Source organism: Homo sapiens, chromosome 7 (assembly GCF_000001405.40).
Source record: "Homo sapiens chromosome 7, GRCh38.p14 Primary Assembly".
Taxonomy (NCBI): domain Eukaryota; kingdom Metazoa; phylum Chordata; class Mammalia; order Primates; family Hominidae; genus Homo; species Homo sapiens.
The window spans coordinates 27,847,405-27,869,947 of NC_000007.14; the positions used below are offsets into that span (position 1 = coordinate 27,847,405).

Sequence of the window (22,543 nt, forward strand, 5' to 3'; positions counted from 1 at the left end):
TCTAAGAGTTTTACGGCTTCAGATCTTATATCCATTTGGAGTTGATTTGTGTGTATGGTATAAGATAAGGGACCAATTTCATTCGAGTCTATGTAGAAACCCAGTTGTCCCAGCACCAATTACTGAAGAGACTATCCTTTCCCCATTGTGTTCCCTCTGTGCCCTCGTCAAAAAGCAGTTGAATACATGTGGGCTCTCTCTTCTGTTCCACTGGTCTATGTGGCTGATTTCATCACAGTACCATACTGTTTTGATTATCTTTGCTTTATAATTTTTATTCTGAGATGGAGTCTTGCACTGTCGCCCAGGCTGGAATGCAGTGGTGTAATCTCAGTTCACTGCAACCTCCGCCTCGTAGGTTCGAGTGACTCTCCTGCCTCAACCTCTTGAGTAGCTGGGATTACAGGCACCAGCCACCATGCCCAGCTAATTTTTGTATTTTTTGTGGAGACAGGGTTTTGCTATGTTGGCCAGGGTGGTCTCGAACTCCTGACCTCAGGTGATCCGCCCGTCTCAGCCTCCCAAAGTCCTGGGATTACAGCATGAGCCACCGTGCCCAGCCTATAATATAATTTTAAAGCAGGAACTGTGATGCCTCCAACTTTACTTTTTCTTTCTTAGGATCACTTTGGTTATTTAGGGTCTTTGTGGTTCTACATCAGTTTAAGGATTGTTTTTACTGTTTCCGTGAAGGATGCCATTAGGATTCTGATAGGGATTGCACTGATTCCATATGTCACTTTGGGTAGTGTGGACATTTTAAGAACATTCATTCTTCTGATCCATGAGCAAGGGATATTTTTCATTTATTTGTGTCTTCTTCAATTTCCTTCATCAATGTTTTAGTTGTCAGTGTACAAATCTTTCACCTCCTCATTAAATTTATTCCTTTTTTTGATGTGATCATAAATGGGATTGTTGTCTTGATTTCTTTTTCAGCTAGGTTGTTATTTGTGTATGGACATGCTACTGATTTTTGTATATTGATAACGTATCCTGCAACCTTACTGAATTCATCTTCCTCTGTACTTAAAAACAAAAATCAGTTGGATTAGATTTGTAACTTTGATGAAACCATTCTCTATCAGAGGAGAATGCGCTCAGAGATCTACCTTTCAAAAGGACACAAGGTTTAAGGACACAAAGGATCCACCGGCTGTGACACTGGGTGAGTGCGACAGTAGGGTGGAGAGTCAGCCCAGCAATCCCTTTTATTGGGATGGTTAATTGTTTCTGCTGATGCTCTGATTGAAGTGCCACGGTTTTGAGGCCCTATTATTTTTTAATGAACAAATGGGCAGATTGTAGGAATGTGTACATGTCATGGCAGCCAAAATGCCTGTTTTTTGATTTGGCCTCCTTTTGCTCTAAGCTATTAGCTCCTTAAATTCTGGCACTTGTCTTTATACCCAAACCTACCTGTGCTTACTTGATTTTTTATTTTAGTAAAAATTCTAGCTGCCTAAGAATGGGCAAATTTTGTTTTACATGTGCATTTAACCAGAGAAACATCTTTGCCATTTAGGCTGGAGGTGCCACCTATGAACCTGGCCCTAGGAGAGGTGCTTTCCACATCACCAGCCTTTGTCTCCCCAACTGATCAGAGGGGAAAGCTGGGGTGTGGGAGGGTAAGGGATGTGCCACAGGTCACCTGGCTAGCAACAGGCCCATCAGGTCTTTGGTTTCAAAATTTGTGTTCCTTTGATTTATTTTTAAATTGAATATCCCCTGTGTGACGGGGAGAACAGAGACGCGACAAAGCAAGGCCCTGGAGACGGGCTGCAGGGAGAGGAAAACGAACACAACGCATGGAGTCGCTCAAAACCACACGTGACGTTCAGTGTGTGAGCAGGTGGGGGCAGCAGGCTAAGCCTCGTGACAGCCAGTGATGGGACCCTGCCACCCAGGTGGCTGTGGTCCAGTCTTCCAAAGGCAAGGGACAAGGGCTGCCTTTGTAAGGCTCTCTGTAGTCTCAGATATGATTAATCAATTTTAAAATGGTGTTCGCTAATGTTAGAGTTTCTGCAAGAAAACGTAATTTAACCTGACACTGTCACATATAAAAATTGGCTGCCACTCATCTTTCTTGGGTTGAGTTTTCTATTTTCATACTCCATGGTTTCATAACCACTGTGGTGGGAACCTGGGGCAGGCAGGACAGCAGCCGAAAGGGGCCTCAAGAGCTCATTTCAGCATTTCAGTTGGGGAAATGAGCAAAACGAAGGTAGGACCCTGTGATAAAACAAATATATTCCACAGGATGGCTGGGGAGCTTCTACTGGTTGTTGGCAAAGGAGGTAAAAATCACTGTCAGTTTCATGAATCAATATTGGAACCCTTACACACAGACACACACACACACACACACACCCCTACACCTCTTCCCGGCCGCCCACCTACACGGAGCCCACATCGCCATCCAGGGGCCCCGCCGGGTGCTTCTGCCACGTTTGCTCTCTCACTGGCCACAAGAAGATTTCCAATCTTGCCCACTCTCCTCGAACCTCTGCCCGCAGTTCCCTTTGCTGACCCCTTACCCGTGGAGATGGCCCAATTCTGTTTTACTACCTAAAGAGTTCTCATTCTTCATAGTCATAAACATAAAACACTGACATACAGATAAAAGTCAACCTTTTCCAGAAACCCAATATGCCACATTTTTCTTATAATGTATATCATTAATATTCATGTAAAAGTGATAACTGCAGTGACAGCAAATTAAAACTTTCCTGGGGTATCAAATTCTGGCAAATACATTAGCAAAGAGTTGCCTTTCTGCCTTATAGATTTATCATTATAAATTAGCTTTAATTGGTACTGACCCACTTTATAGGAGCTGAAGCAACAAGTCTAAATGAATTGGCAACGAGTGATTACAATGAAAGACACATTAATGGCTCTGGGACCACGGGCCATGCCTGGAAAATTCTTGACCTCTTTGTTCCTGGGCCTTAGCTCATTACTGGAATGTCATTCTCCCCTGTCTCCTCCTTAACTATGGAATTGGTTCTGGTTCTCCAAGCCAGAAGTAATACTTCCATAGGACTTTACACACTTTCTAATGAATTGCCAGCCCGGTGTTGGATTCATCTCTGGTATTTGGAGTTCTTGGTCATTATTTGTGATTACCTGACAGTTCCCAGGACACTGCTGGAACCACAAGGAGCCACTGGACATGTTTGTTGAATGAACGAATGAGTGAATCGAGTTCAGACGGGAAGGAGGACCCAAGATAACACAGCTTCAACTCTTGACTCCCTCTAATCTTTTTTAAAAAATTACGTTATTTCACTTGCCTGCTTAAACCCTCTAGTGGCTTCTCACAGCAAAGAGCAGCCCTGGGCCTCATCATGACCTTTTTCTTTATCAAGGTTTCTTTATCAAGCCATCTTTCAGCTCTGAAGGACCATTTTTTTTTTTTTTTTACTTAAGAACTATTTGTACTTGGTTTAATGATAAACTTTTACAACTATAAATCTAACAAACATTTATAAATCTTTAGATAGTATTAAATAATAATACATCGGAATGAATTTTTAAAATAATTTTTTTTTTGAGATGGAGTTTCACTCTTGTTGCCCAGACTGGAGTGCAATGGCACGATCTTGGCTCACTGCAACTTCCACCTCCCGGGTTCAAATGATTCTCCTGCCTAAGCCTCCTGAGTAGCTGGGATTACAGGCACCGGCCACCACGCCTGGCTAGTTTTTGTATTTTTAGTAGAGACAGGGTTTCACCATGTTGGTCAGGCTGGTCTTGAACCCCTAACCTTAGGTGATCCACCCGCCTCGGCCTCCCAAAGTGTTGGGATTACAGGCGTGAGCCACCAAGCCCAGCCTAAAATAAAATGTTCTAATACATTTAAATATTGATTACAAACACACTCAAATTTGACATATTTCAACAAAATCATGCCAACTTTACTATGTAAGTTTTAAAAGATCTTAAAAATACACACATCAAGGCTGGGCATGGTGGTTCACACCTGTTCACACACACTTTGGGAGGCTGAGGTGGGAGGATCATTTGAAGGCAGAAGTTTGAAACCAGCCTGGGCAATGTAGTGGCACCCCATCTCTATCAAATAAAAATTAAAAAATTAGCTGGGTGTGGTGGTACACACCTGTTGTCCCAGCTACTCAGGAGGCTGAGGCAGGAAATGAGCAAAACCAGGATAGAACCCTGTGATAAGTTCGGGAAGATCACTTGAGCCCAGGAGGTCGAGGCTGCAGTGAGTGGTGATGGCACCACTGTACTCCGACAAGGCAAGACCTTGTCTCCTAAAAAACAAAAAAATGCAAACCAAAAAACGAATCACACCAATGATCACAATGACTACCAAGCCTAAATTTAGCCTATTACACAGTTGGTTCTAAAGAGCTGAATTATTTTTTCATAATTTCCATATTAGCTTTGACCTTCCTGGGTCACAAGAATCTGGTGAGACCTAAAAGACAGAGGAACTGACCTCGGGCCAGTGGAGGGTGTGTGTTCTGAGTTATGGACCCACACTGATGCCTGGGGGTTCTGAGTTATGGACCCACACTGATGCCTGGGGGTTCTGAGTTATGGACCCACACTGATGCCTGGGGGTTCTGAGTTATGGACCCACACTGATGCTTGGTCAGTATGCAGTCAGTACAAGATGATTCAAAAGTGAGCCTGTGTTTCCTTGCCTAGACTCCTAGGTTTTTTGACCAACGTTTGCTTGCTCAATAAACAGGACTTTTTTTTTTTTTTTCTTTGAGATGGAATCTCACTCTGTCGCCCAGGCTGGAGTGCAGTGGAGCGATCTGAGCTCACTGCAACCTCCACCTCCCAGGTTCAACTGATTCTCCTGCCTCAGCCTCTTGAGTAGCTGGGATTACAGACGTGCGCCCCAACACCTGGCTAATTTTTTTGTATTTTTAGTAGAGATGGGGTTTTACCACGTTGGCCAGGCTGGTCATGAACTCTTGACCTCAGGTGATCTGCTCACCTCAGCCTCCGAAAGTGCTGGAATTACAGGCATGAGCCACTGCACCTGGCCATTTTTGCCACTTTGATGCCTTCAGTCTAATTACTAGGGTCATTTGAGGTTGCAACTCCCTCAGTGTGGCCAGCCCTTTTCTCAGGGCACACGGCCATTCTCCCATCTTGCAACCCTCTCTCAGGTCCTCTTTCTACCTGTTTGTGACCAACACAGTGTTGGCCAGTCTTTCCTACTCTTGCCCCAGGCCCTACTTTTTCTAGAACTGTGGGGTCACTCACAAGTCCCTGCCTATCTGCTAAACGAGATGGAGAAAATATCTATATTTTATAAACAGCAATCTACTTTACAGAACACATTTCACCTGTTCTGATATTATAGCTACTGTTTGGGCACACTTTATACTATCTTCCCCATTTTGAGTAGCATTTTGGACTCACTTATTTTCAAAGATTCAATTAATTACCAGTCATTATCCTACTCTGTGATGCTCAAATTACCACACCTTGGTCGATGGAAGCCCCATTAGGTGGCCTCCTGGCTCTTTTGGTAATCCCCATTACTATTTTTTAATTTAAATTTTCTTCTCTTTAATCAAAGTTATAATTGCATGCAGTAAGAAGTCAGATAGGGCTATGAGGCTTGCCATGAACCACAGGAGTGCCCTGTCCTGTCCCTCCCTGCGGTGACGCCTTCCCAGTCTTTGACGTGGCATTTACCTCCCCATTTCTAAATAATGTACTTCTGCTGGTTTTTGGTGTCAGTTTTGGGGTATCTACTGATTTCCTACTATGGAAGATAAGAGTTTTGATCTTTTACATCCTCCCAACCCTCTTTCTGCACCTTCCCTCCTCCCAGAAGAATTTCATTATATTACAGCAGGTTTTTGTTCAATGTTGTTTTGTTGGAACATTGATGAGAAAAACTGATTCCCAGTAGGGGCCATTGTGTATGTGGAGTCTGCTGGTTCTCCCCTCATCTGTGTGGATTTTCTCAGGGTCCTCTGGTTTCTTCCCACATCCAGGGCTGTGCACGTGAGGTTCACTGGTGTGTCTGCATGATCCTATCTGAGTGAGCGTGTGGGTGGCCCTGCGACGGGAGGGTGTCCTGTCCAGAGTTGGTTCTTGCCTTGTGCCCTGAGCTGCCACGACAGGCTCTTGCTACCTGAGACCCTGAACTGAAATAAGCGGGTTAGAAAATGAGTGGATACTCATTGGTTTCAAAGAAATTATTTATTTCTGCCTTCATTTCATTATTTACCCAGTAGTCATTCAGGAGCAGGTTGTTCAGTTTCCATGTAGTTGTACAGTTTTGAGTGAGTTTCTTAACCTGAGTTCTAATTTGATTGCACTGTGGTGTGAGAGACAGTTTGTTGTGATTTCTGTTCGTTTGCATTTGCTGAGCAGTATTTTACTACCAATTATGTGGTCAATTTTAGAATAAGTTTGATGAGGTGCTGAGAAGAATGTATATTCTGTTGATTTGGGGTGAAGAGTTCTGTAGATGTCTATTAGGTCCACTTGGTCCAGAGCTGAGTTCAAGTCCTGAATATCCTTGTTAATTTTCTGTCTTGTTGATCTAATATTGACAGTGGAGTGTTAAAGTCTCCCACTATTGTTGTGTGGGAGTCTAAGACTCTTTGTAGGTCTCTAAGAATTTGCTTTATGAATCTGCATGCTCCTGTTTTGGGTGCGTATATATTTAGGATAGTTAGCTCTTCTTGTTGCATGGATCCCTTTACCATTATGTAATGCCCTTCTTTGTCTTTTTTGATCTTTGCTGGTTTAAAGTCTGTTTTACCAGAGACTAGGATTCCAACCCCTGCTTTTCTTTACTTTCCATTTGTTTGGTAAATATTCTTCCATCCCTTTATTTTGAGCCTATGTGTGTTTTTGCACGAGATGGGTCTCCCGAATACAGTACACCAATGAGTCTTGACTCTTTATCCAATTTGCTAGTCTGTGTCTTTTAATTGGGGCATTCAGCCTGTTTGCATTTAAGGTTAATATTGTTATGTATGAATTTGATCCTGTCATTATGATGATAGCTGGTTATTTTGCTTGTTAGTTGATGTAGCTTCTTCATAGTATCTATGGTCTTTACAATTTGGTATTTTTTTGCAGTGGCTGGTAATAGTTTTTCCTTCCTGTATTTAGTGCTTCCTTCAAGAGCTCTTGTAAGGCAGGCCTGGTGGTGACAAAATCTCTCAGCATTTGCTTCTCTGTAAAGGATGTTATTTCTCCTTTGCTTATGAAGCTTAGTTTGGCTGGATATGAAATTCTGGGCTGAAAATTCCTTTCTTTAAGAATGTTGAATATCGGCCCCCACTCTCTTCTGGCTTGTATGGTTTCTGCAGAGAGATCTGCTGTTAGTCTGATGGGCTTCCCTTTGTGGGTAACCTGACCTTTCTCTCTGTCTGCCTTTAACATTTCTTTCAACCTTGGTGAATCTGACAATTATGTGTCTTGGGGTTGCTTTTCTCAAGGAGTATCTTTGTAGTATTCTCTGTATTTCCTGAATTTGAATGTTGGCCTGTCTTGCTAGGTTGGGGAAGTCCTCCTGGAAAATATCCTGAAGAGTGTTTTACAACTTGGTTCCATTCCCCACTTCACTTTCAGGTACACCAATCAAACATAGGTTCGGTCATTTCACATAGTCCCATATTTCTGGGAGGCTTTGTTTGTTCCTTTTCATTCTCTTTTCTCTAATTTTGTCTTCATGCTTTATTTCATTAAGTTGATCTTCAATCCCTGACATCCTTTCTTCTGCTTGATCGATTCAGCTATTGATACTTGTGTCAATGAGAACAAAGACACACAATGTATCAGAATCTCTGGCACACAGCTAAAGCAGTGTGTAGAGGGAAATTTATAGCACTAAATGCCCACAAGAGAAAGCAGGAAAGATCTGAAAGTGACACCCTAACATCACAATTAGAAGAACTACAGAAGCAAAAGCAAACACATTCAAAAGCTAGCAGAAGACAAGAAATAACTAAGAGCAGAACTGAAGGAGATAGAGACACAAAAAACCCTTCAAAAAAATCAATGAATCCAGGAGCTGGTTTTTTGAAAAAATTAAAAAATAGATCGCTAGCCAAACTAATAAGAAAAGAGAGAAGAATCAAATAGACACAATAAAAAATGATAAAGAGGATATCACCACTGATTCCACAGAAATACAAACTACCATCAGATTATACTACAAACACTTCTATGTAAATAAACTAGAAAATCTAGAAGAAATGGATAAATTCTTGGACACATACACCCTTCCAAGACTAAACCAGGAAGAAGTCGAATCCCAGAACAGACCAATAACAAGTTCTGAAATTGAGAGAGTAATTAATAGCCTACCAACCAAAAGAAGCCCAGGACCAGATGGATTCACAGCTGAATTCTACCACAGGTACAAAGAGGATCTGGTACCATTCCTTCTGAAATGATTCCAAACAATAGAAAAAGAGGGACTCCTCCCTAACTCATTTTATGAGGCCAGCATCATCCTGATACCAAAAACCAGCAGAGACACAACAAAAAAAGAAAATTTCAGGCCAACGTCCCTGTTGAACATCGATGCCAAAATCCTCAATAAAATACTGGCAAACCGAATCCAGCAGCACATCAAAAAGCTTATCCACCACCATCGAGTTGGCTTCATCCCTGGGATGCAAGTGTGTCCGGAATTGGTGGGTTCTTGGTCTCACTGACTTCAAGAATGAAGCTGCGGACCCTCGTGGTGTGTGTTACAGTTCTTAAACGTGGTGTGTCCGGAGTTTGTTCCTTCTGATGTTTGGATGTGTTCAGAGTTTCTTCCTTCTGGGGGGTTCGTGGTCTCGCTGGCTCAGGAGTGAAGCTGCAGACCTTCGCGGTGAGCGTTACAGCTCTTAAGGCGGCACATCTGCAATTGTTTGTTCCTCCCGGTGGGTTCGTTGTCTTGCTGGCTTCAAGAGTGAAGCTGCAGGCTTTCACAGTGAGTGTTACAGCTCATAAAGGCAGTGTGGACCCAAAGAGTGAGCAGCAGCAAGAGTTATTGCAAAGAGCGAAAGAACAAAGTTTCCACACTGTGGAAAGGGACCTGAGCGGGTTGCCACTGCTGATTCAGGCAGCCTGCTTTTATTCTCTTATCTGGCCCCACCCACATCCTGCTGATTGGTCCATTTTACAGAGAGCTGATTGGTCTGTTTTACAGAGAGCTGATTGGTCCATTTTGACAGGGTGCTGATTGGTGCGTTTACAATCCCTTAGCTAGACACAAAAGTTCTCCATGTCCCCACCAGATTAGCTAGATACAGAGTGTCGATTGGTGTATTTACAAACCCTGAGCTAGACACAGAGTGCTGATTGGTGCATTTACAAACCTTCAGCTAGATACAGAGTGCCAATTGGTGCATTCACAATCCCTTAGCTAGACATGAAGGTTCTCCAAGTCCCCACCAGAGTAACTAGATAGAGAGTGCTGATTGGTGCATTCACAAACCCTGAGCTAGACACAGGTGCTGATTGTGTTTACAAACCTTGAGCTAGAGACAAAGTGCTGACTGGTGTATTTACAATCCCTTAGCTAGACATAAAGATTCTCCAAGTCTCCACCAGACTCAGGAGCCCAGCTGGCTTCACCCAGTGGATCCTGCACCAGGGCCGCAGGTGGAGCTGCCTGCCAGTCCCGCGCCGTGTGCCTGCACTCCTCAGCCCTTGGGTGGTTGATGGAACTGGGCGCCGTGGAGCAGGGGGCGGCGCTCGTCGGGGAGGCTTGGGCCGCGCAGGAGCCCATGGGGGCGGGGGGAGGCTCAGGCATGGTGGGCTGCAGGTCCCGAGCCCTGTTCTGCAGGGAGGTAGCTAAGGCCCGGTGAGAAGTCAAGCACAGCAGCTGCTGGCCCAGGTGCCAAGCCCCTCACTGCCTGGGGCTTGCGGGCTGGCTGGCCGCTCCGAGTGCGGGGACCGCCGAGCCCACGCCCACCCGGAACTCGTGCTGGCCTGCAAGTGCCGCCCACAGCCCCGGTTCCCACCTGCGCCTCTCCCTCCACACCTCCCCACAAGCTGAGGAAGCTGGCTCTGGCCTTGGCCAGCCCAGAAAGGGGCTCAAACAGTGCAGCGGCAGGCTGAAGGACTCAAGCGCGGCCAGAGTGGGCGCCAAGGCTGAGGAGGCGCCGAGAGCGAGCTAGGGCTGCGAGGGCTGCCAGCATGCTGTCACCTCTCACAAGGCTGGTTCAACATATGCAAATCAATAAACATAATCCATCACATAAACAGAACCAATGACAAAAACCACATGATTATCTCAATAGATGCAGAAAAGGACTTTGACAAAATTCAACATCCATTCATGCTAAAAACTCTCAATAAACTAGGTATTGACGGATCATCTCTCAAAATAATAAGAGCTATTTATGACAAACCCACAGCCAATATCATACTGAATGGGCAAAAGCTGGAAGAATTCCCTTTGAAAACAGGCACAAAACAAGGATGCCCTCAAGGTCTCACCACTCCTATTCAACATACAATTGGAAGTTCCGGCCAGGGCAATCAGGCAAGAGAAACAAGTAAAGGGTATTCAAATAGGAAGAGAGGAAGTCAAATTGTCTCTGTTTGAAGATGACATGATTGTATATTTAGAAAACCCCAATGTCTCGGCCCAAAATCTCCTTAAGCTGATAAGCAACTTCAGCAAAGTCTCAGGATGCAAAATAAATGTGCAAAAATCACAAGCATTCCTATACACCAATAATAGACAAACAGCCAAATCCCACTCACAATTGCTACTAAGATAATAAAATACCTAGGAATAAAACTTACAAGGGATGTGAAAGACCTCTTCAAGGACAACTATAAACCACTGGTCAAGGAAATAGGAGAGGACACAAACAAATGGAAAAACATTCCATGCTCATGGATAGGAAGAATCAATATCGTGAAAATGGCCATACTGCACAAACTAATTTACAGATTCAATGCTATCCTCATCAAGCTACCATTGACTTTCTTCACATAATTAGAAAAAACTACTTTAAATTTCATATGGAACCAAAAAAGGGCCCATATAGCCAAGACAATCCTAAGCAAAAAGAACAAAGCTGGAGGCATCATCCTACCTGACTTCAAACTATACTACAAGGGTACAGTAACCAAAACAGCATGGTACGGATGCCAAAACAGATATATAGACCAGTGGAAAGAACAGAGGCCTCAGAAATAATGCCACACATCTACAACCATCTGATCTTTGACAAACCTGATAAAAATAAGCAATGGGGAAAGGATTCCCTATTTAATAAATGCTGTTGGGAAAACTGGCTAGCCATATGCAGAAAACTGAAACTGGACCCCTTCTTACACCTTATACAAAAATTAACTGAACATGGATTAAAGACTTAAACATAAAACATAAAACCATAAAAACCCTAGAAGAAAACCTAGGCAATACCATTCAGGACATAGGCATGGGAAAAGACTTCATGACTAAAACACCAAAAGCAATGGCAACAAAAGCCAAAATAGACAAATGGGATCTAATTAAACTAAAGAGCTTTGCACAGCAAAAGAAACTATCATCAGAGTGAACAGGAAACCTACAGAATGGGAGAAAATTTTTGCAATCTATCCATCTGACAAAGGGCTAATATCCAGAATCTGCAAAGAACTTAAATTTACAAGAAAAAAACAAACAACCCCATCAAAAAGTGGGCAAAGGATATGAACACACTTCTCAAAAGAAGACATTTATGCGGCCAGCAAACATATGAAAAAAAGCTCATCATCACTGATCATTAGAGAAATGTAAATCAAAACCACAATGAGATACCATCTCACTCCAGTTAAAATGGGAATCATTAAAAAGTCAGGAAACAACAGATGCTGGAGAGGATGTGGAGAAACAGGAAGGCTTTTACACTGTTGGTGGGAGTGTAAATTATTTCAACCATTGTGGAAGACAGTGTGGTGATTCCTCAAGGATCTAGAACCAGAAATACCATTCGACCCAGCAATCCCATTACTGGGTATATACTCAAAGGATTATAAATCATTCTACTATAAAGACACATGCACATGTATGTTTACTGCAGCCCTGTTTACAACAGCAAAGACTTGGAACCAACCCAAATGTCCATCAATGATAGATAAAGAAAATGTGGCACATATACACCATGGAATACTATGCAGCCATAAAATAGGATGAGGTCATGTCCTTTGCAGGGACATGGATAAAGCCAGAAACTATCATTCTCAGCAAACTAACACAGGAACAGAAAACCAAACACCACATGTTCTCACTCATAAGTGGGAGTTGAACAATGAGAACACATGGACACAGGGAGGGGAACATCACACACCGGGGCCTGTTGGGGCATGGGGGGCTAGGGGAGGGATAGCATTAGAAGAAATACCTAATGTAGATGACGGGTTGATGGGTGCAGCAAACCACCATGGCATGTGTATAGCTATGTAACAAACCTGCACGTTCTGCACATGTATACAGAACTTAAAGTATAATAAAAAAAGAAAATGAATACAAATTATCAAATAAAAGTCTGTAAAGTCTACGATAATTGTACAAGTGCACGACAGTAAATGATGATGTGCAAAAGTGCTCAGCGAGCCTGCCACATCTGTTATTGCTGGTTTTTGAACTGTGGTGGGAGGAGGTGCTCCTTACAATAGTCACACATTTATTTCTTAATTTAACCCACTACCAAGAGGACCATTGTTACTCACTGATGCATCAAAACTTGGGTAAATAATTATCCTGTTTAATTAATTTTCTTAAATGTATGATAGCTCACATTTATTTTAATGTTTAATACTAGAAGTGTTTTGGGTCTTTATTTAGAAGTTTGCTGTTTTTGTGATCAGAAATATGCTGTAGGAACTTAACTTCTCTTTGTATAAATTAGCCTTTGGGAAAATTGGTTCTGTTATATGTCATTTCACTTAAAGTGAAAATTTCCAAGAACCTCTTGACAACATTAAGTGAGGCCTTCCTGTATTTGGCTTCATTAGTATTCAATGTTGCACTATGATGACACTGAGCCATGGGATGAACCAAGCTCACATCTTTATCTTCCTTGGAGTTCAACACCATCTCCACAACCTCTGTTGTGATCTTTCTCATCTTCATCCTCCTCCTCATCCTCCTCACTGCATGAGCAGCTGATGTGTATCTGGGGCTCACTACAGGCCAGGCACAGCTCTAAGCGCTGTACATCTATTAGCTCATTTAAATGTCACAACAACCCTTTTAGGTGAGTACTAAGATTATCTTCATTTTACATAAAATGGAAGCCCAGAGAGGCAGAGTATCTTGTCAGAGGTCACAAAGCTCCTCCGTGGGGTGCAAGGGTTCCCAGCTGGCCAGGGTCTGTGTTCCCAGCCAGCGTACTGCACTGCATACTTGAATCCAGCCTGACCCTCAGATGGACTGTAAGCCTCCTCTCAGTGTGTTTAAGCCCCCAGGTATTCTGGTTCCCCCCATCCCCACTTTCCTCTTTGCCTCCCCTCGTCCCTCCTTTTTCCTAAGAGACAGTCTTTGGGCACCTGGTGCCCTCTGTCCTTCTACTCCAGAACCACCCTGCATGGCTGCCATCCTGGGATTCCCCTTCTCCACTGTCCCAGCAGTTCCCTTTTCCTCTCCCCACATGGGGCCGATGCCTGTTCCAAGGTTCTGTGTCTTCCTCTTTCTTCGTTCACCCCTTGCTTGGGTCATGGGAGGTAAAATCTGGAGTCCCTGAATGTCTGAGGACGTCTTCATTCTACTCTCAGGTCGATGCCCACGAGTCCTGAGCTGCACTAACTCCCATTCTCAGATGTGTCCTCCTCCTGGGAGACTCAGCTTCTCGCTGCTCTCTGTCCTTCCACCTGCCATCCTTTTACTACTGTGCGGGGGACTCATCCACCTGGAAACTCACGCCCTTCAGTTCTGGGAAATTTCTTTGAAAAAAATTTTTTTTTTATAATTTCCTCTCTTAGCTGTCTTTCTGGGAATTCTTTTTATTCTAATGTTACACACCTCCTGGACTAATCCTCTCATATTCTTATCACTTCTGTTTTCTAAATCTCTGATTTTTTTTTTCCTTTTTACTTTCTGGGAGATTTTTCTAAAATAGCTCTCTGTCCTTTCTATAAATGTTTTCATTTCTGCCATCACCTGTTTTAATTTCCAAAGACTACTTTTTTTATTCTTTTTTTTTTCATGCACAAAGCTTTCTTCTCTCTGTAAGGAGAAGGTTGTTGTTTTTATTTTCTCCTGCCCCATGCACTGTCACTGTTTCTCCGGTGTGCCTTTTTTCCTCTTTAATCTGGTCTCTGACACTGTCTGTCCTGGAAGCCATTCCCAAACCTTGAGGATCCTTGTCTGTCTGCTCATATTTAAAAGTGAGGCATAAAAAGCAGATTGGATGCTCTGGTGCATAGGTGGGTCTATCAAATGGTGAAGGTCCACACAGTGAACCTGGAGGGGGACCACCTCACAGGTCCTTTCCCCTTGGGCTGACCATCCTGGGTGGTGTGAGTGGCTGTGGGTAGAGAAAGGGCACTGGACTTCTACCACTCAGGATGGAGTCTCTTCCTCAGCCTCCCTGTTCTAAGAACTGTGCCCTCACCCTGGGCTCTGCCTGGCAGCTCTGGTTCAGCATCTCCAGAGCCATGCTCTGTCACGGGAGGGATGGCAGCTGCCTGGCCTCGCAGAGTTAGGGAGGATACAGAGGGGGAAAGGAAGGGACATCCCGTGGAGACTCTCAGCCAGTTCTCCTGACTTCAGCCTTATCTGTACTCCCACATTCAGAGGTATCTGTAGCTCCATTTTTAAAATAGAACAGATTTATTTTTACTTTTTAAAAAATATTTTCAACTTTTATTTTAGATCTAGGGGGTACACATGCAGGTTTGTATATTGTGTGATGCTGAGGTTTGGGGTACAATTGATCCCATCACCCAGGTCCTGGGCATGGTAATCAATAGTTAGCTTTTCAACCCTTGTCCCCTCCCGCCTCCCCCGCCCCAGAGGTCCCCAGTGTCTACTGCTGCCGTCTTTATGTCCATGAGTACCCAATGAACATAAAGCTTTACTGAGGTATAATTCACATACTATACAATCCACTTATTTCAAGCGTACTGCTCAAGGTTTTCCATATATTCACAGAGTAGTGCAGCCATCATCTCAAACAATTTCAGACCATTTTCATCTCTCCAAAGAGAGACCACGTACCTATTAGGTTGCTCCAGATCTGGAGGCTTTCTGGGATTATTGAATGTGAATCAGCCCACCTCTGAGCTCACCCTTTTCAGCTTAAGTTCCAGCTTTTTCTAGTCTGCTAAGTCAGTGACCTCTTTTCCACTTGCTGTCCAGCTTCCACGCTTCTGTTGCTGCTGCCTCACCTCTATCTTTATCTTTGTGGCTTATGATTTTGAAACCCCGCTTTCTGTATTTTGGGTGCATGTGCGTGTTCACATCACCTTTTTAAACTGGAAGTTCCCTGGCTGCTTTGAAATCATTCTTTTTTCTAGCAAGAACAAAAGTTCCAGGCCTGTCTTGGATTACTCCTGCCCTAAGACATGGGGTCAGCTCCTTTCCTTTAAATAGAGGACAGCACTGAGACCAAAATCTAGGTGCTGCTTGTGGGGCCCGATGGTCCCATGTGAGGGCTGCTTCTGGGTAGGGCCACCATTCCGGCCTGCCTTGGGGACAGGGCTGTCTGGGCTTCTCTTTAGGATCATGAATTCACTACTGACATTTCCAATTTAATGCTAACATCAACATGTGCTTCAAAATGTTATTTCAGGTGAACATGCAGATTTATTTTCTCTGCCTACGGCTACTTCGTTGTCTATTCCTTCCCTGCCCATCATTATCCTTCCCTCTCTTTTATGACACTTGTATGTCTCCATGTCCATCTGGCTGGGGTCCCTTTGATGACCCTGTTCTCCCTGCTCTTGAATTAGAGACCGGTGGCTATAAAATGCTGAGCCTGTCCCCGCCACAGGGCCTTCTTCCCATGGTGCCCTCTCCTTGGACTTTCTTCTTCCAGTTTTTCTCATGGGTGGCTGCTCAGCATTCAGGTCATGTCAGCTCAAATGTCACTTCCCCCAGGAGGCCTGCCCTGATCACCTCCCTGCCGAGGGAGCCCGTCCTTGCCCAGGCACAACCTCCGTACCTGGGTATCTCCCTCATAGTGCAGCTAACTTTCTAAATGATGCTGTTTTCGTCTTTGCCATCCTTCTTCCCCCAGCACTGGAATGCAAGCTCTGCAAAACTGAATTCCTGGTATCCTTAAAAGTGACTGGCACACAATTGGCACTCAATATATATTTGTTGAAGAAATAAATCAGAGGCAGAGACAATGTGCAAACACAGGGCCTCCTGACCCCCAGGCCACTGTCTTGTGACTACGCGATGTGGTTCCTTGGGGAACAGAAATCCAAGTACAAGGCTCAAGGGAGGAAGGCATAGCGAAGACACACAAAAACGTCACCTACCTGAGATTCAGCTTCCAGCAAATGAAACGCCTAAGTTCAATTCCCTGTCACATTTCTCTCTGCCAGTTTTTGGCAAAGAAGTGAAACTCACAAGTTGATGGAATGCTTGTGGGCAGTGGCACTTCCCGCTAGGTCAACTGCCAGAGAGGAGCACAGGAGAATGCAGGGGCTGCCTCCTCCAAGCCGCCAGCTTTGTGAACAGAGCCCGGACTCACCAGGAGCGCAGGGCCCTGACTACCGCCTGGCCGCTGTGACGAGACCGTCGTCATCCTAAGGGCTAATGATGCACAGAGGAGGCTGTGACTCACCCCTGGCTCCCTCACTCTGCATCAGGGAAGAAGGAAGAATGTCACCCTAATTCCATGGCCCGCGATTTAATTTGAGGTCAAGATCAAAGCTATTCAAATCAACATCTTCTAAAAACTGGAAATTCAGATTTTAAGACAATTCCACAAAGCCATAACAAGAAATTCTGCATGTATTTAAATAAGCACATTCTCAGAAAAAGATGAAAAAAATGCACACCCTAGGAAAAATCAGTCCCTTTCTCATTAACCCTAGAGTGCCAGGCCCCTTCATCCTTTTCTTCTTTTCATTTTGAGACTTCAAAGCAGCCCTCTGCTCACCTACTCAGTTTGGAGTCAAAACCCATGGGTTTGCCCGGCTCAGAGCCTACTGCCCCCCTAGCAGGAGTCCTCTCCCTGCTGAGGGCTCCGGTCAAGCTGACTTCTCCTGGTACCTGAGTTCCCTGCTCTCCCAGCTTGGTTAGAAGAGAAAGAAACCACCTGAGTAGCACCAAGAAAATATCATCTCCTTTATTGTTCCCATATGTTGTTTCAGGTCTCATTTCTTAAAAAAAAATCCTACATTTTTAGGAAAAACTGAGCAACGAAAAATGCCAACGTCTCTTCAGGACAGCAGGGAGCTCAGAGAGACACCTTTCCCCATCCGTTAACCAAGTCAGAAGTCCCACTACTTCCCTCTTGGGGAGATCAAAATGACTTATTTTCCCTTAACAACATTTCTCAATGTTGCTACAGACTTGGGGAAATTTACTATAAAGTTTTTCTGTGGCAATGGGCTCCCTCACAGGACCTGCTTCCCCCAGAGTCTCGAATAGTGCTCCCAAACTGCAGACCGTGACCCAGGAGTAGGTTGTGAGATCAATTTAATGGGGCATGACGAGCATTTGAAAAGGGACAGAATGGAATAGAGAGTATCAGAGTATAAGGTGTGTTCATGGGCTGGGCACAGTGGCTCACAGATGTTAATCCTAACACTTTGGGAGGTTGAGGCAAGCAGATCGCTTGAGCCCAGGAGTTCAAGACCAGCCTGGGCAACATGGTGAAATCCTGTCTCCACAAAAAATACAGAAATTAGCCAGGTGCAGTAGCACACGCTTGTGATGCCAGCTACTCAGGAGGCTGAGGTAGGAGGATTGCTTGAGCCTGGGGAGGTTGAGGCTGCAGTGAGCCATGATCGTGCCACTGCACTGCAGCCTAGGTGACAGAGTGAGACCCTGTCTCCAAACAGAAAACAATGACAAAAGAGATGTGTTCATGAAGCTTTTGTTTCAGGGGTGTATGTGCTCTCTCACAGAAAATGTAGTTCTTACTACTTCAAACAGTAAAAATCTTTAAAGCCATATTTAACCATCAGAATCTAGTTTATAGGATTTCTTTATAAAAGAACCAACATTTAACCCAGAAAAAACATACTACTGAATAATGGTATCCAACATTTAAATAGGATATAAAACAGGCTAACAGAGAAAGAGAAGGGGAGTTTTTGGCGACCATCGACAAGATGTTGTGTTAGCTAGGAGTACAGTGAGTGCCACCCACCAGCCCTCCCCACCAGGAACCTGAAGTTTAACCGGGGAGCAGAGCTGTTGCCAATCCAACTTCCGTAGCTTCAGAAGGGCCCAAGTAGAAGGGAGCTGACAGCCACAGACACGAAAGTGACAGATACACAGATTGATGGACAGTATGCAGAAGATTCCCAGCTGATTCAGTATCCTTTAGGACACGGGGCACATTCTTTGTGAATATTCTCAAGGGCAGTCCACCCTTGCTTTCTGAGCAGGTGACTTTGTTCTAGGGAACAGCCACAAGTCACTTGGGGCTGTTCTGCTGGACTAAGAATGATCATGTATGCGGCACTTTGAACTCCTTACTCAGGCCGTCATCAGGCTGCTACCTAGAATGGGTTCGCAGACAGGTTCAAGTCTTGCAGCACAACCTCAGCTCGTCTTCATCGAGTGAGGGCAGCACTGCCGGCACTGAAAGGATGGTGCTCTGTGACACAGTGCACGTAGGCATTTGTATGTAGTATGGATATTTTGTACTTAGTAATTTTGCTTACTTAACAGACACTACAATTTCTATATGATAAAATGAAAGGAGCCACAATGATGATAGGCCAGATTGCAATGTGCAAAGGTGCACACAGAACGGCTTCATCCTTCCATTAACCCTGATGAACACAAAGACACAAACTCAACCCAACTGTCCAGAGCCCACATGGTGAGGTGGCTAAGAGAGGCACTTGGGAGCAGGCATCCTGTGCTTCATTCTGCTCTGTTCTGACAGTTATCTCACCTCTCCACACCTCCATTTCCTCATCTGTAAAATGGAAGTAATATTAGAGCTAACCTCACAGGGCTGTGGTGAAGATTCTGTGGTTTCATAAGCATATTTAGGTTGACTTCCAGCACACAGTTAACACTATATTAGTGTTGGTTGCTATAGTCCTGTTAATCAGTATTTTTAAATTAAATGTCTGGATTTGAACAACGACCAAGGAACCACAAAGGCCTAACAATAATCTAATTCGAATTATCTGCCTATAATTAGTGGACTAAAATGTCTAAAATGTAGTTTACATTTCGAACACACTCGATTACCATACTGCTTCCTAACGGTGTTGGAGAAACATAATGTGCTGATTTAGGATTATATTGCTGAATTTATTTTCATTAATCCATTCACATTAGTGGAGACCTGGGGATAAAGAAGACACGCTGTCTCTCTGGCCTCGAGGTGCACGATGCAGAACTTGGGTGGGCAGACTGCATCACACCGTGGAGGAATGCAAGGTTGGAGATGGCCCAGACACTAAGGGAGTGCCTCACTCTTAACGACATGACTTCTGAAGGCAGTGAGAGTGAGTACTGTCTTTGTTGGACCAACTGCTGCTTGTGTCTGCACTGCGGCAGCCCTCGCCGGAGCTTGTTTTGGTATGATGATTTCCTTCTTAACTGTGAAATAAAATGTGCTATATTTATAGAGGGTACACCTACAGACAGGGTGGATATTTTTATGCCAAGAGAAAGCTCAAAAGGAGGGCTGGGAAAGGGAGGATGATTGATATAGAGAAAAATGTTGCAATGATCAAGATGAGAAATAATTAGGGTCTGCCAGCCAAAACCAGTTTCTACTACATCAGAGTAATTGTCTCTTCCAAGACATAGCATATGACATGAAAATGCACCAACAGAAAATAAGCTGCTTCTCTTGAGAATAATGTCGTGAGAGTCACTGAAAGTTCACGCAAATCTCAGAGATTGCCCATAAAAGCTTAGTTTCACACTTCGTCCCATGGGGAAACTACAGCCTGTGCCGCATGAAAAACGAGTTTTATGAGAGTACTTCTGATTTTTAAGAAGGCTATTTGGCTTCCTAACAGGGCAGCTTCCTAAGAGCACCAGCAGTGTCGCTTTTACATATTGCATGTACCAGGCAGGCCTCATAACCATCAGGGCTGCATTTCAATCTGGTAAAACGTTATGCGGGTGACAAACTTTGACATAAGCGATTGGGAGAAACTGCAAGGGCAAGAATTTCCCACTCAAAGAGATCGTTTTAAGAATGAGATCTAAAAATCAGTCAGAATTTTACACTCCAGGCATGACAACAAAGACCGAGGGAGAGGTAGACAGCGTGGCTGTCACTGCTCCCAGTGCCATTCATGTCCTACATGCTTATCTACTAAGCTTCTCTTAGACATGGGCATTGTGGCCAGTTTCAGAGGGCCAAGGTCTCAGTGGGAGTGCCCAGTGACCCTGGCAATGCTTTTCCTGTCATTTCTATTTCTTTCGCAGGATCTCGCCTGGTCATGAGAGGACACTCTGTGACCGACTAGCCTGGGTTCCATGTTGGTTTCTTCATGGACTCGCTTGGTGACTCAGGCAAGACATTCAATTCCATTTGCCATTTTCTTCTCTTGCTACAGAGCCCACTTCAGAGGATTCAATGAGTGAATACGACAACGGTGCTTGGATCAGTGCCTGCCATACTGTCAGCACTAGTCGTTACTATTTTCACTGGTTGAACAGACACGTGAGTTCACACATGACACCATCTATTGGGATGAGTCACGTTGCTTGCTCAACAACTTTAAGGCCTAGGATCAGTGACAGAACTCCAGGAGCAGCGGGGTTAACACGGGTGACCAATTTCTCCTGCCCACTGTCACTCACATGGCCCATGCCTGCTCCTGCAGATGCCGTTCCCCGGTCCTCACCGCAACTCCCTGTGGGGTTGACTGCCGCTTGCTTCTCCCGCTCCCATCCCCCTCTCCAGATTCCTCCGCCCCTGCATGGGCCGCCTCACGGGGGTTTCTCACCATCCACTCTGAACAAGGCGTGGAGTTGCTTGCTCCAGCCTGGCTGGTCGGCTCCCCAGCTGCCCTGCCCCAGCCTATCTAGGTGACAAAGGCATGATGTCACTTCCTCTGAAGACTGGATTCTTCTTTAATTTGGACACAGTGGACTTCAAAAGTGGCACTCAGATTTCCCTGTTGCTGTGACTTATAAGCATTAACTCTGGCAGTGAGAGGTTGCCTCCTGGAAAGAGAGAGCATGGTACCCAAGTCAAACTGCCAACATTTAAACCCTGTTTGTGGGATCTTGGGGACTTACTCCTTCAAGCTCCAGTTACCCCACTTGAAAAATGACAACCACAACAGTAGCTCACTGTGGCAAGGATACAACTAATACATGGAGAAGGCTTTTCACGGTGCCTGACAGAGAGCAGTAGCTCAGTCTAGACCCTGGGCAGATTGGTCACACCAAGAATGAAAGGGACGATATTTTTCTTCCCCAGAATAGAGGTGTGTGGGCTCTTTCCTCCACTCTTGTCCTTTGTTCATTCAACTTCAGGGCCTCTCTGGATACATGTATTGTTATGTATTGCTACACTGGAAATCCTGCATTCACAAGTTGCAAACTTCTCTGCATGTTCATAAAATGTCTTGTGGAACAGAACGATGCCACATAAACACCACATAGTGATAAGCAAGAGGTTTTTACGTGGTTTGGTAATAAGACTAAGTGTTATTAGACCTCTATTCAGGGCTGAAAAACAGGAACAGTCATGGCCTAATAAATCACACCTATCAGTTCCCAAACAAGCGGCAACAGAAATAAGGGAGGACCCCGCACCCTGCTGTGAATGGAAATGCGATGAATGACGTATTTACCAGTAGGACTCCAAAACCATCAGGTGCTTCCATTAGGTTCTGCCTGAACTACGGGTGGCCAGTTTGGATAGTAGTTTCCATTGTAATAAATGTGGACAGACTAGGTATTTTGGGGACTCTAGACAGCAGTAGCTCGACGGCACCAACATGGAGGTACAAACATCTGCAGCATCAGCTGTGCCATCCCCCTTCTCCTCCCCATGCTTCCGAGACAGATGATTAAATGGACACAGGCTTCTATTTGGGTCCCTTCCTAGTGTGGTGATCCCATGCAGGAACCAAGGGGTTGCTTCTGGCCTGTTTTCCAGAATCACATCCAGGACGGGGCAGGCCAGGAAGATGTCCCACCTGCCACTCGTAATGTGCAGTAGGAAGTAGGCTTTGTGTAAAACAAAAATAGAAACACGGCAACAAAAGACACTATCTCTCTGTCCTTCTGCCATTTCTTCCCTTCTAGGGTTAGGAAATGGTATTTCTACCAAGGGCTGACTTTCTGTGCAAAGTAAAGGGAGGCTGGTTTGAATTTCTGTGTCGTATTTTCCTAGCCCCTCCACCATCAAGCCCTGCCTCCCTAACTACATTTATTTTATTTTGAGATGGAATCTCGCTCTGTTGCTCTGTC

General features: G+C 44.5%; 1 protein-coding gene across 5 annotated transcripts in view, besides 2 other annotated features; it reads right to left on the bottom strand.

Annotated features, from left to right (window-relative positions):
* Positions 1–22,543, bottom strand: part of JAZF1 (JAZF zinc finger 1) — a 350,219-nt gene that overhangs the window by 16,828 nt on the left and 310,848 nt on the right. The gene's annotated exons all lie outside the window — the stretch shown is intronic.
* Positions 16,644–17,144: an enhancer, noted in NCBI's record as "H3K4me1 hESC enhancer chr7:27903667-27904167 (GRCh37/hg19 assembly coordinates)". NCBI's record gives its function as "activates a minimal SCP1, AML or CMV promoter by ChIP-STARR-seq in naive H9 embryonic stem cells {active_cell/tissue: H9 hESC(naive)}" and the evidence as "EXISTENCE:reporter gene assay evidence [ECO:0000049][PMID:30033119]".
* Positions 20,295–21,494: an enhancer, noted in NCBI's record as "BRD4-independent group 4 enhancer chr7:27907318-27908517 (GRCh37/hg19 assembly coordinates)". NCBI's record gives its function as "activates an origin of replication core promoter dependent on BRD2, P300/CBP, MED14 and CDK7 cofactors, and independent of BRD4, by STARR-seq in HCT116 cells {active_cell/tissue: HCT116}" and the evidence as "EXISTENCE:reporter gene assay evidence [ECO:0000049][PMID:35650434]".